General features: G+C 40.7%; 1 annotated feature.

Annotated features, from left to right (window-relative positions):
- Window positions 12,117-12,256: a silencer, noted in NCBI's record as "silent region_1506". NCBI's record gives its function as "represses an Ori minimal core promoter by ATAC-STARR-seq in GM12878 lymphoblastoid cells {active_cell/tissue: GM12878}" and the evidence as "EXISTENCE:reporter gene assay evidence [ECO:0000049][PMID:35858748]".

The raw sequence follows: 13,978 nt of genomic DNA, 5'->3' as shown, positions 1-13,978 counted from the left end.
AACAAAAAAAAGTTTAAAAGTAGAGCTTATGGAAAATAAGCTCCTTGTGCTCAGCCTCTGAGCTCCAATGAGAATAGCATGGCTAATACCCAGTTTCAAAGTTGGTTTTCTTGAAAGAGCCATCTGAATTAATGACTCTGGATTCTGCTACCTCAAAGATATTTGCAAACCACCTACAAGTTAAAATAGGTTAACAGCAGAAATTTGAGATCAAAAATTTACTGAACAGCTATTACATATCAGGCCTTGTACTCAGCTGTGTCACATACATTTTCTTATTTAGGTCTCTAATAATTCCTTCAATAATTATAATACAGGTTTTATTATTGCCATTTTGTAGCTGGGCAAACTGACTCAGTGAGGCTCGGTGACTTATCTAATATCACACAGCTAAGAAGACAAGAGGAATCCAGTTCCCAGGCCCCAGATCCACGCTCATTGCCCTGCACCATGTTGCCTGGTTCCATAATCAAAAGCTGGCCCTGCACTCCAGCTTGGATCTAAGACTTTGGTCCTGAATGATTTGGGCACCACTTCTTGGTCATTTGTTAGAGATCCTACCCAGAAGAAATCAGAAAGGAAGGTAGCCAAATAGCATTTCTCAGACTGCGTCTGAGGAGCAGCATCTGCCCAATAAAGATTCCATAGTCATCAACCAGAGAAAAGACAACATAGTATATCCCTCTCTTGGAGAATCACAGTGCACATCAGAATGTTAGCGATGCTGATAACACTGCAGTTAAAAACAAACAAAACCTGTCTACGTTGGTTTAACATAGATTCCCAAACCTCCTCTGCCATTGCACCCTGATTTTATAAGAGCCCTATTAGTATCTCAGAATGAGTGTTCTGAGAAAACTCTATATGAAACTAAGTCAGCATACCGGTTTTCATCCTGTCCCCTCTGCCTTTGATTGGTTCTCTGTCTTTGAATATTTTTTCACATACTGAGCCTCCCCTGTTCTGATGATGGCATCCATAACCCTTTCATTCAACTAATGTTCGTTGAGCCTGTGCCAGACCCTGTGCTAGGTCTGCGCTTTCAATGTTGAAGAGTCGGCTCTTGACTCCATGTCTCCTGGTGCTCGCCTCTGAGAAGAGGCCACCTGCTTATCACTATGCCATCCCCATAGCTCTATCTTCTATAAGAATTCACTCAAGTCTTTTATCAAAGCAGGCAAGAAAAATGATCCTTTTTCTACAATGAAACCTAAGGCCAGCTGAGAAATAGCCCTGAGAGCAGGACTAGCCATATATCTTGTGGGGCCAGTGCAAAATAAAAATGTCAGGCTCCTTATTCGAAAAGCAGGGGGTGGCAAGTGTGCAGCTAAACATACTAAGATATCAAGCTTTTTCCTTTAAAAATATTGTTTTAGGAAAAAATGTTGTATTAATTATAAAACACAATGGGGTAATAGTGATACCTGTATAACAATATAAATTTACAAATAGCACAAATAAAATATGTTGGCATAATAATTTTACATAACACAATAAATAATAACAACTAGCATGATATTTTGATTGGCCATGAGATTTTTCTGGCTCATTTTTCTGGAAATTCATATATTAGGTTTGTAGCAACTTCACATACTGAAATTTATAGAAACTTCATTTTCAATTGATATAATTGAGAGCAACATTCTTTCTTGGCAAGTGCAAGATCACACATAATTTTTGATAATTTTTAATTCTGAGAAGGATTTATGCTGATGTAACTGTTACTGGAACTATTAAGAGTGTTTTATAGTTTATGACAACATTAGAATACATTTCTGCGAAATTATTTCAAAATATAAGTTTTAGTACATCTAGAGCTGATGATTTTTGCAAAACAATGTTTCTGAAAAGATTTAACTCTTCATTCAATTAAGTTTTTGTGTACATCTGAATTTAATTTTCAATGGAAATTTTTATCATGGCATTTTAATGTTTCCTCTGAAATTTATTTTTATTTTTATTTTTTTAATTTTTTTTGAAATTTTTTTGTAACTTGTAGAAGATGTACAAGAAACTGAAGGTGGCAATATGATTTGTGTATCATTCAAAACAGCTGTGTCTTCAAATACAAGGAAAAATTAATTTTTAAATTGTCTCCCTCACTAATAATTGATTCAGCCTGAGTATCATGTGAAAATAGTGTTCTTTTCCCTTGAATATATGATCTTTAAATTCAATTTCTATTTCTAAACCTGTGGAGCTTCCTTTGCAATCTGAAGCAGTTTTCAAGCCCAAAAGTTCTCAACTTTTTGAAGAATTGTAGTAACTCTCTTGTATGCCTTATTGCAATGTCCATGTGTATACTTTTATTTTGTATAATTTGTATAATTTGCTGACAAAGTTTACTGCATGTGCACCTGCAGTTCCTATTCTGGTGCTCAGGCTGGAGAGTTAATATCTGTACAGATGCCACAGGGACAGACTAGGGATGAACAGACAAGCCAACCTCCCACTGGAGACCCCATCACTACCTCCCTATAGTGTTCTCCTCTCTCTTATAGCCACATCACTACTGCTGCTGCTTATGTTATTGCTGCCACCACCATCATCATCTGGGCCTAGGTCCTGGCCTGGCCAACCCCTCTGGGCTCTGCAGCACCTAGACAGCTCCAGCCATGTGTGTGGGATGGCTGGGCCAGCCTACTGTGTTGAGGAGCCTGGGCCTACCCTGCACGTGTGCTGCTGGCATCTCTCCTCTGCTCATATGCATGTTCCATTGTACCATCAGGTTTTCTTACAAAACACAAGTTCAAAGACAAAATTATTTAGAATTTCAAGATGATGACAGCTGAGCATTAAGCCAAGTGTCTGGCTCCTCCTGAGAGTAGGACCCTGTTCAACTGCCATAAAACCAGCCCTGCCTGAGAGGCATCAGAATTAACACTCTTCTTCAGGTTGGCCAGAAACCCTATGACATTCTTCCGCATCAGTTTTGCAAAGCTACTATGTGAGCCTGTCCTGAAGAACTACACTGACACAAATAGCTTGGCCTGGGGCCCTCCCATCAGATCCCATCCTTGCCTGCGTCAAACTAAAGCATTTGTCCTCATGGATTCTTCAGGACCAAACCTTGTCCATCTTCCTTTGGCCTCTGATTCATCCCCTGTGCAACAGAGCACTATTTCTAATTTTGAAATCTTCTACTGATGGTTCACCTGATCCTAAGATGTCATCTCTCCTGCAGGTTCTTCTCACTTTGCTTTGCTGGCATCCAACTTGGTTTTTCTAATGGCAATAAGAATAGATTTAAAAATAAACAAAAGAAATAATAAATGTGATAAGAATTAGCCAGGAGCAGTGACTAATGGAGGTGACAGTAGATTAAGTGACTAAGCAGTCAGTAGGCCAAGTAGCTATTATGTGATAAATTTCAGCTAAGATAAAAAGAAAAGCATTTTGCTTCTCTGGCTCTTTTCACCCAAGAGGTCTCCCCTCTCTCCATTCCTCTTGAAATGTTGAATTTTAAATAAGAAGAGACATCATCTTGCTCACAATAACTGTGAAAGAATGGGAACCAACATTTTTAAGTATCCACTGTTTATCAAGCACAGTGCTTTATAAAATCTCATTTACCCTTTGTGGCAATCCTGTGAATCATCTGACCTCCCTCCTAGAAAGGCAGAAGCCAGGACATTCAGTAAGCCTGGTTCACAGTGACCCAGGAGGCTGGTTGGGCCTGTTGATGTGCTATCTTATGAGGGTATGTGGCCAGAACCAAAGTGCTAGGCTGAGGTAGGGTCACCAAATCCCACTGGGCCTGCCAAGACAAGAGAGATGTCCAGCCGAGAGGGTGACTTGCCCAGGGAACTCTCCATATGAGAACAGTTGAAGGGGATGGAAAGAAGTCAACAGTTGGAGGCTCCCTAAGCCAAGGTTTAGGGTTGGACTTATATGGTACCCGCAGCTGCTGGTGTGGGCAGGCTGGCAGCAGTTAAGGGAGCCATGGGAGAGCATTCACAAAAGTAAGGCTTTTATCACCATTTTATCACAAAGACTCATAAAGGTTAAGTAGATTGCCTGAGATCATACAAACAGAGCCTGAGTTCCAATCTGGATCTGGTACATTAAGTTTCTACCATTAACTGGACATGACATTGGAGCAGAGGGCTTGTTCTGTTAGCTTTTCTTCCCATCAGCTCCAGTACATGAGAACATAATCCTTTACCTTGGTCTTAGCAAATGCACCCCTCAACCAAGCTAACCTGGCCAGTCTAGGATCCCTGACACTCAGAATTATGAAAACAATTCTAGTCCAAGTTATCCCACTTACAACAAGAATAAAAAGAGGCCAAGTGTGTTTCTCTGGATGTCAACACAGCTTATCAGTCTAGTTCTTGCAAAATAGTTGTCAGACTACTGTCTCTGCTGTGGGTTAGACTGTATTTTAAAACAAAATTCTACTTTGAAACAAAACTGAGTAGTGAACCCTTTGCTAAGCTGTCTTCTTCCAGAAGCAACGAATACTATTGATTTCATCAGCAGGGGCCCTTGAGGCAATTAGGAACTAGGAGCAACCAGGACCTATCAAAAATAAAAATAAGCCAGTTTAAAAATAAATATTTCAAATAATATTATCCATTCCATATTTATGGAGGACCTCAATGTGCCAGGAAGTGACTGAGGGAGGTAGTTGGCAAAGGAGGCGACAAGTAAACAGAGTAACACTGAGGTGCAACTGGGACAGCGTGGAAGGATGACATCTACTGGGGGACGCTTCTGTTGGCTCCTGTTCTTTCCTTTCATGTGCAGTTGTGTCACTCCTGGCATCTCCCACCACCCATTGCTCTTCCCTGGGAGAAAAGTATGGCTTAATCTGATTCGTGAATTTGAGAGGAATAATCTGGTCATTCTCATCTTAGCTACTTCTTTTATTTCTGTTGGAAGGGTCAGCTATGGAGAATATGAGCTCTGCTCTTCTCCCTGGGAAGCCTGCCTTCGTCCATGCTGCCTGTGGCTGAACAGATACGTCTGTCTAGTTGAGGGGTTTAATTGGCTCTCACACTATGCTAAGTCCTCCAGCTTAGCCTTTATCAGTAATAAAGGTGATATTTTGGCTCTCACATGCTTACTCTTTTATCTTCTATCTCCACTTGCTCAGAAAGCCGATTGAGAAGATGGAGCCTCCTCAGAGACCACAGCTCTCAGGTTGTTTACCAAGACACATCAGAAATGGGCACTCAACTCCCTTCCTTCTAGAGATATCTTGCAGGCCACATTTCTTCACCTCCACAGGTACATTCTGAGGAACCACATCAACATCTTGGCTACGTCATTTGTCTCATTTGCTAACCTAGTTCCTCCTCACAAAAAGAGTGTGGGTTCCTCCACTTGCCTCACCTGGTTTTTGTTGTTGTTGTTGTTGTTGTTTGTTTGTTTGTTTTGAGACAGAGTCTTGTTCTGTCACCCAGGCTGGAGTGCAGTGGCATGATCTCAGCTCACTGTAACCTCTGCCTTCCAGGTCAAGTGATTCTCCTGCCTCAGCCTCCCGAGTAGCTGAGACTACAGGCGCGTACCACCATGCCTGGCTCATTTTTTGTATTTTTAGTAGAGATGGAGTTTCATCATGTTAGCCAGGATGGTCTCGATCTCCTGACCTCCCTCACCTGTTTTTAATGAACTCATGCCAGTTCCAAGGGAACACCATTCCCTCTGCTAAGCCAACTTCTACTTAACAATAGGCTCTGGAGTCTTGTCAAGTGTCGATATCAGGTCTTGAGACCTAATCCTTTTCCCTTTCAGGAGGATGGGAGGCACACAGTAGTGTGGCCTCTGCATTCTCCATCATTCTTGAGTTCAGGACAGTGTTTCTGAGTTCCAGCTCCCTTGGAAGTAATTCATCTGGGTTTGAGCTCATTCAGAACCATGCTGTACTGTCGCCTCACCTGTTTTAGTTTTCAATTCACTCTTAATCATGTTTGTTCTGCTCTTTTTGGTTTTAAGGATAGATTCTCTATCATCTTGATAGAGAATACAGAGGCAAAATAACACTGCCCACTCTGTCACCTGTTAACATGATCCCATCTGCCCCAAGCAGTGGGCCTATCATTCAACCCTTATTTCCACTTCTGATTTCAAAAGTAACTTCAAAAAAATTTTTCTTTCCATTCATAACAATTTTGCAAGCTGCAGCTCATCCTAGGCTTTACCCATTCTGATACTATTTTTGTACATCTGTACCTCTCTTGTTTCCCTGGTTATTTGGCCATCTTTCCATCTCTCATACATGGTCTTTAAATATCTGAGCTCATCTGGACCCCTGCGTATGGTTACTTTGATCCCCTAGGTATCCTCCTGCCTCCACCCCACAATTTTGCTTCCTCATCCAAGTTCTTTGTGCTGATGTATTCTCAGAAATCATTCTGTCATATTACTTTGTATTAAAATGTTGACATTTCTTTATTTATCCTCCATATCTTGCACAATACTAGACCCAAGTCTGAAGCTATAGGTACTGTTTTTATCACACTTTGTTTCCTCCTCCTTAGAATAATGACACTTCCACTATTCTTATTTCAATGTCACACTCCTTGTCCTCTGCAGTTAATAGTTGGTAGTCTGATATTTTTCTCCTTATCCCTGAATTCCAGATTAAAGCCACCTCAATCAGGTGAACAATTCTCTTGCTACACACATTCTTCCCCATCTCCTAAGCATTCTCACTTGCTACGTAAGTGTTGAGCAGCCAGGATACTCAGGGGATAAGCACTGGATCGGGTGTCCATGTCCCTTCCCAACCCTTGCAAAGTCCCTTCACCTCTCCAAAGACATCAGCTTCACTGTCCGTAACATGGGTAACTACTACTTCCTGCCTTTTATTGTTTTGTGACAATTAAATCAGGAGAAATCTACATCAGTCTATGCAAATGCTCCCACGAGTCCATCTGTCTTTCTCCGTCATCTGCCCTGAGCAGCAGGCCTGTCAGTTCTTGTTTTATTCTACTGCATATGTTTCTAAACCACACCCCAGTCCCTGACACTATCTATACAGCCAGAATCTAAGTCAGGTATGGGTGAGACTGAAGGCAATTCATCCTGAGGCAAAATTCCTCTCTAGCTGTGAACGTGTAAAACTAGACAAGTTATGGGCTTCCAAAATACAATGATGGGACAGGCTTAAGATAGACATTTCCATTCCAAAAGGGAGAAGTAGGAAAGAAAGAAGGAGTGGCTGGTCCCAAACAAGTCCAAAACCTAGCAGGGCAAATACCATTTAATCTTGAGGCTTGAGAAAATCCTCTTTGGCTGAATGCTCTGTGCTTCAGGCCCAGTGGGGTAGCAGCATCACCCCTATATTCCTAGACAGTGGTCCTACCCATGGCTCTGCAGGGAGGTCCTGCCCCAAGGCTCTGGACAGTCTCATTTAACCCCACTCCCAGTACCAAAATCTGTGTTAGTCTGCTCAGGCTGCCATAACAAAATGCCATAAACTGGGTGATTTAAACAACAGAAATTGACTTTCTCACAGTCTGAAGGCTAAAAGTCCAAGATCAAGGTTCTGGCCAATGTTAACCCCTGGAGGTTTTTCCTATAAGAGTCAATAAAAACTAACACAATGTCTCCCAGGTAGACAAGGACCAAGCCTGTGCTTCTTTAGCATCAGGGTGGCAGGGTATCACAGTGGTTAAGGAAGAGGCCTTTGGAATATGCAAGACTTGTGTTCAAGTCCTAATACTGCGTCTGCCTAAATAATGACCTTGAATACATTATTTAAATTCTTACTTTCAGCCTCCTCATCAGTAAATTGGACATAACAATTCCTACCTCACAGACTTGTGAAGATTAAATGAGAATATGAATGTAAAGTGCTTAGAGGCTGGCATGTACACACATGCACACATATGCAAACACTCAATACATTGGTAGCTACTATTATTTCTCACAGTGCCTAGCTGGGAACACAGCACAGAGAAGGTGTTTAACACATTTATTTTATGCTTCTTCAATTCATTGTTTTGTTTCCAGTCCCCAGAGACCCAGTAGAGACAGAGTGTGGTGAATGCTTCTCACCAACTAAGAAACTCTAGTGAGATTTGGCCAACATTGATGGGTCTAGAATGGGAAAGTAGAGGTGATGGGAGGAAAAAAAATGCACTTTCATTAGTCATTGATGCCTCTTAATATAAATACAAAGAGAAGTTCCACAATGGTCATCCTCTTATCCCCCCAAAAGCAGAAATTATTGATTCAGAAACTTGACTAACAAAATGCCCCAAAGAGAAACTGTTGTACAAGTCAAATGAGTAAATAATCTCAGCACTTTTCAGTTCTTTCCTTTACTGGAGGCCTGGGGGTCTCAACTAGACCAGCATTTCCCCAACACAATTGTTGTTAAGTATAACTTGGGGAATAAAGGGGAACCATTAGTTTGCACAGATTGAAAGGGAGGCTCAATGAAACCCAATGCACTGTTCTGTACCCAGGAAGAGGCCACACTGGGGGCTCATGTTTTATTATTTCTTCCAATTTATTAGACAAGCCTTGTCCTTAAAATCAGTGAGAGTGAGGAATGGCTTCACAGAGGAATATGTTGTTTGAATCCAGCTGTTGAACTGTGGCAATGTGTAATTAGTCGATTTGCTCCAGAGGATGGACTGAAACGCCCCGGACTAAAGACCAGGTTTCACCATTTGTTTTGGAGTTCAAATTTCTTCCTCCAAGTCCTAAAAAATTTAATGTCTCTTTTTTACTAAAGCATTGTCTGGTCCTAGGAGCCCTCTCTTCTGTGGTATTTGACACCCATTAATATTCTAAAGAAAAAGCAGTAACAGCAAATAGCTACACCCTCCAGTCTTCCGCATCCCTCTTTCTTTAACTCCCAAATATGTTTTCAAATAATAACTGCTAGCATTCATTGAGAATTTACAACATACCAGGAACTGTTCTAAGTAATTTACAGGTAGTATTATTAACCCTCATAATAGCCCTATGTATTAATAACAACATTCAACAGATGAGGAAACTGAGCCACAGGAAGTTAAATAACTTGCACAAGGTCATAGAATTGAAAGATCCAGAATTTAAACACAATCTAACTCCAGTCCCCACTGTCTACCATTATGCCACATGCCTCTGGTCATGATACACACTGCCACATCTCCGTGCCTTTGCCCATACTTTTCCCTTTGTCTAAGATCCCCTTCTTGCCCCGATCCATCATTTAGAAAGCTACTACTCATCCTTTGAAATTATGAAATCCTTCCTTGACTCCACTGGGAAGTTTAGGCCTGGGCTGTCCTCTTTGCACCCACAACATATTATGCATAACATAGCCACGTTTCTCCTACACTACTGTGATCATGGTTCATGTATCTGTCCCCACTAGACCAGATGAGACTGAGGATCCTCAGAGGTAGATCTATGCCTTCTTCCTCTTTGTAACCCCAAAACCAAACATACATGGGGCTTAGCAGATTATTGCCATTTTTAAGGTTTTTGTTAAAATTAAATTAAAATGCAGGATTTGGTAGGAAACTGTTTGAATTCAGCAAACTCAGTAAACTGCTTGAGTTTGAGGTCTGAACCTCATTATGAAACAACTGTCATCAATTTTTGTGCTGCAGATTTGTCATGAGTGAAATAGGATCCCAGGTCCTGTCTACTTCCTGGAAATGTTTCTTCCTCTACTTTACCACCTCCATCCCCAGTTCTTGCCTGAACAAGCACTGTGGCCTCCTCTTAGGCCCCTGGCTTCTTGTTTTACTCATTGCAATTTATCCCCTTTGGCACAACTAGAATGACCTACCTAAACAGATTCAACCGTGCTATTTTCTGTCACCCTTTCAACGCCCCCACCTCCCCCTCTACTTCCACACACCCAAGGGTGACCATCATACTTTATTGTGGGTGGTGCAGTCTCATTTGCCTAGTTGCAGCTATGCATTTTAAATATTTAAATAATATAACATTTCAACATCAGAGTGCATGTTTGGAGGAAGAGGCTGAAATCATCTAGTAGGCTCAAAGCACAGAAATCATCTACTAGGCTCAAAGTGGAGAAATTTAAAACTCGTTGGTTTTTCACATTGACCAAGTTCCACTTGGCTGGAAGCAAACAAATCTATTGCATCATTTTTCACTTAATTAGCCTTGAAGCTGCTGGCTTGGGCATTCTTACTGCCAAGCCAGCACAAGCCATGCCTTCTTCATTCTCCTCCTCATTAATCAGTAGAGGTTGTCACCCCTCCACCATTAACTCCAAGTCCTACAGTTGCTTCCCCTGAGCTTCTTAGCCCTTTTCTCACATCTATACTGGAAGCTTTTCTCACTCTGCCCCATGAAGTAGGTGTCTGACTTCCCACGGGGCTCTGAGTTCTGAAGATGTAAAGACAATGCCCACTCATCATTTTTCCCCAAGCGCTGGCATAGAACCAGTACCCAATTAATTTCCAATAAATAATGTCACATCCTGGAGTGAAATTTGCAAGGACCAATCTTAAGAATTACATTTAAACTTCTTGTTCTACTCACATAATTGAATGGGGTCCCGCTGTCCAGAAGCGCAGGGACCCCTCACCAGCCTTTCTCTTTAGGTAAGTATGCAAACACTCTCTATGTGTCCAGCTGCTGGAATTTAAAGCCAAGTCCCAGTATTTGACTGATATCCTCTCCCCAGCCCATGTGGATTAACTTCTTTTTGGGATTTTTTAAAACAGAAGTAACTGGCCTGGCACAGTGGCTCACACCTGTAATCCCAGCACTTTGGGAGGCCAAGGCGGGTGGATCAATTGAGATCAGAAGTTCTCAACCAGCCTGGCCAACATAATAAAACCCCGTCTCTACTTAAAATACAAAATTAGCTAGGAGTGGTGGTGCACGCCTGTAATCCCAGTTACTCGGGAGGCTGAGGCAGAAGAACTGCTTGAACCCAGGAGGTGGAGGTTGCAGTGAGCCAAGACTGTGCCACTGCACTCCCACCTGGGCAACAGAGCAAGACTCTATCTCAAAAAAAAAAAAAAAAGTAACCAGCTTAATATCTTGCTAGTCTTCGAAGCATTCAGAGAGTTAAAGGACAATTATGATATGTGTGGTGAGGAACAGGAGTGCTGTTGTCATGGGTCAGTGGTGTTTGAATAGTCCTAAGCAGAATGAAACTCATAGCCCTTCCTTGATTCTGGTTGGCTCGTGAACCAATGGTTGACAACAATAATTCCATTTGCGCTCCTAATCTAAGGCCAACCTCTCCATTTATCCACAGTATCTCATTCCCTCTCACTTATAGAAGGACATCATTCTAGCAATTTATCTTATTCTCCCCTGCATCGTTATATTTTTCTCTTTAAAGGATCATTTCCATCATTATACTGAAGCACTGTAATATCTTTCATATTTAACAAAAAAGTATGTTCCCTGGACTCCATGTCTCCTTCCAGCTATATGGTTATCACAAAGCAAAACTTTGGAAGAGTTTCGCACACTCATTTTCTGCACTTTCTCTCATCCTTTCCTTTTGAACCCATCCTAATTAGGCCAATATCCCCAACATTCCACCAAAACTGTGCTAATCGGAATTACTAATGACCTCCATGTTGTCCAAAACCAATGCTACTTCTCAGTCTTATCTTACTCGATCTATCAGCAGCATTTAATATTGTTGATTACTCCCTCCCTCTTTCCTCACTTTGCTTTTTGGATACCATTCTCTGTTTTCCTTCTACCTCACTAGTCACTTCTTCTCAGTCTCATTTGCTAGTTCCTCTTTGTCTCCTCAATTTGTGCATGTTGCACAGCCCCAGGGATCTGTCCTTAGCCCTTTTATCTTTCTTATCTACATGCACCAACCAGCTGACTACTAGACATCTCCCCTTGAATGTCCAATTAACACCTCAAGCCTCATATGACTATTGGTAACTGACCTAAGACAATTTGGTCATGCACAACACTTTGTTTCTTTTGATAAAGAATGATAGCTGCCCTTGAGGCTCTAAGGCAAATGAATGTAAGCTACTCTCCCATACACTTATTATGTTCATCATGTACAAGCTATTGTTCATCATGCCTGGAGTTGGGCACCATTTTGTTCACAGCATTGTTTCTGGTACATGCCTGTGTTTAACTTATTAATAATATCACTTATTAATAAGTGATATTATAGTAATAATATTAATTATTACTAATGTTATTAATAATACTACCTCCTCAGTCTGTACTCAGTGGAATATGCACTGAGTACGAAAGTGAAAACTGTATTCTAGACTCACTTACTAGTAAATGCTTGGGTGACTTCTGGCTCCCTAGAGCAAGACTGCAAGACTGAGGTCTCAACACCTCAGTTCCCCAGTCTATAAAAATGGAAACCATGAGACAGATCTGGCAACAAGGCAGACGGGCTTAAGCCTGCCTCCCTGAGGCCTCTACATAAAAATGCCATATAAATATATAACCAAGAAAAACATTTACACACATAGCCAGGCTGGAAAGAAAGTGAAGTCTTTAAGTACTGAAAGCAAAGAAGAAATTCAGAGCCAAAGCAGTACACTCCAAATAGGCCCACAGAGAAGGACTACGAGGGCACTGTACCTAGATGTGAGCTCAAGGGGCTGGGACATGGAAACCTAAGGCCATCTCCGGGACGGGGTCAGCCAAAATAGGGAAATGAAGCCAAGACCTGTAAATGTAAGAAGCTTTAAGGGTTTCTATGTCCATGTAGAGAGAACCAGAAAGATCCCATTTCACTCCCATACCTCTAGTCTAGAGAAGTAGTTAGAAAGTTTGGTCTTTATCAATCTGAGCTCTGTCTATAGCCATGTGAGGGAGCCTACATGTCAACTTTCCCCCTTGTGGAGTCTTGGGATGACTGCAGTCCCACCAGACACATTCCTTGTAGCCCAACAAGAGAACCTGACCCAGCAGACCCAACTAAGATGCATCTGGATTCCTCACCCAAAGAAATTGTGAAATAAGGTTTGCTGTTTTAAACTGCTAAATGTTGAGGTAATTTGTTACATGACAGTAGATAACTAGTACAACTGCTAACGGTATAGCAAAGTGAGTCAGACATCTGCTGTACAAGTACTAAGAATATACAACTTGAGAATAAAAATCATTTATAGGGTTGAGCTTAGACTTTGTATTCTGAAGAACAGTCATTTTCCCTATGGATATTTTTGGTTATTTCCTCCTCTCAATGGTATTTATTCCAAGGTCTACACTGCAATGCCATTTTTTTAACAAAAAAAATTATTAAATAAAATGGTCAGAGAAAAGGCTAAATAATTCATGCTATAACTCACAATTGCATAGCAACAAAGAATCACATTCCAATATATAAGCCTTGGTCCTTCATAACTTTTTAACCTCATTTTTTTCATCTGTGATTTAGGGATAAGATTACAACTCTAGAAAATCAAATAAAATGATAAAAATGCAAAAAAAGAAAGTTTAGTCTTTATCTCAAACTCTGGATGGCAAGGACAAAGAGTCATCTAGATATTAAAACCTGAACTACTTGAGTTTGTAGGACCCACAGCACTGTGCATCAGTTAAGATACTTGACTGCAGGTATCAAAACTTTAATTCAAATGGGCTTTGAAATTAGGAAATGTATTATCTCTATTAATTAGAGCTCTAGAGAAAGTGTAGCTTCCAGACAGTTGTGCTCAACAGCTCAGTAGTATCAAGTTGCTTTGTTTGCTTACCATTGTGTGTGTGCTTGTTCATTTATTTTTATAATTATCCTAATTTTCACTTTATCTAGTTTGATACTATATTGTTATACACATACAGGTTCTGGATTGTTATATTTTCTTATAAATTGTTATTACTTTTATTATTCTGTAATAATGCTCATGGTCCCCCAGTAGCACCTGTTTTAATGTCCATTTTGTTTAATCAATATTAATTGCTATACCAGCTTTAATTTGGTTATGGTTTTCCTAGTATATCTTTTTCTATCTTTTTGCTTTTAAACTTTTTGTGTCACTATATTGAAGGTGTTCATTTTGTAAAGAAGTTATATCTCTTTCAACAAATGAGTTTAATT

This window comes from Homo sapiens, chromosome 1 (assembly GCF_000001405.40).
Source record: "Homo sapiens chromosome 1, GRCh38.p14 Primary Assembly".
NCBI classification, from domain to species: domain Eukaryota; kingdom Metazoa; phylum Chordata; class Mammalia; order Primates; family Hominidae; genus Homo; species Homo sapiens.
The sequence above is the reverse complement of the archived record's forward strand: the minus strand, read 5'-3'. Positions and strand labels throughout refer to the sequence as shown.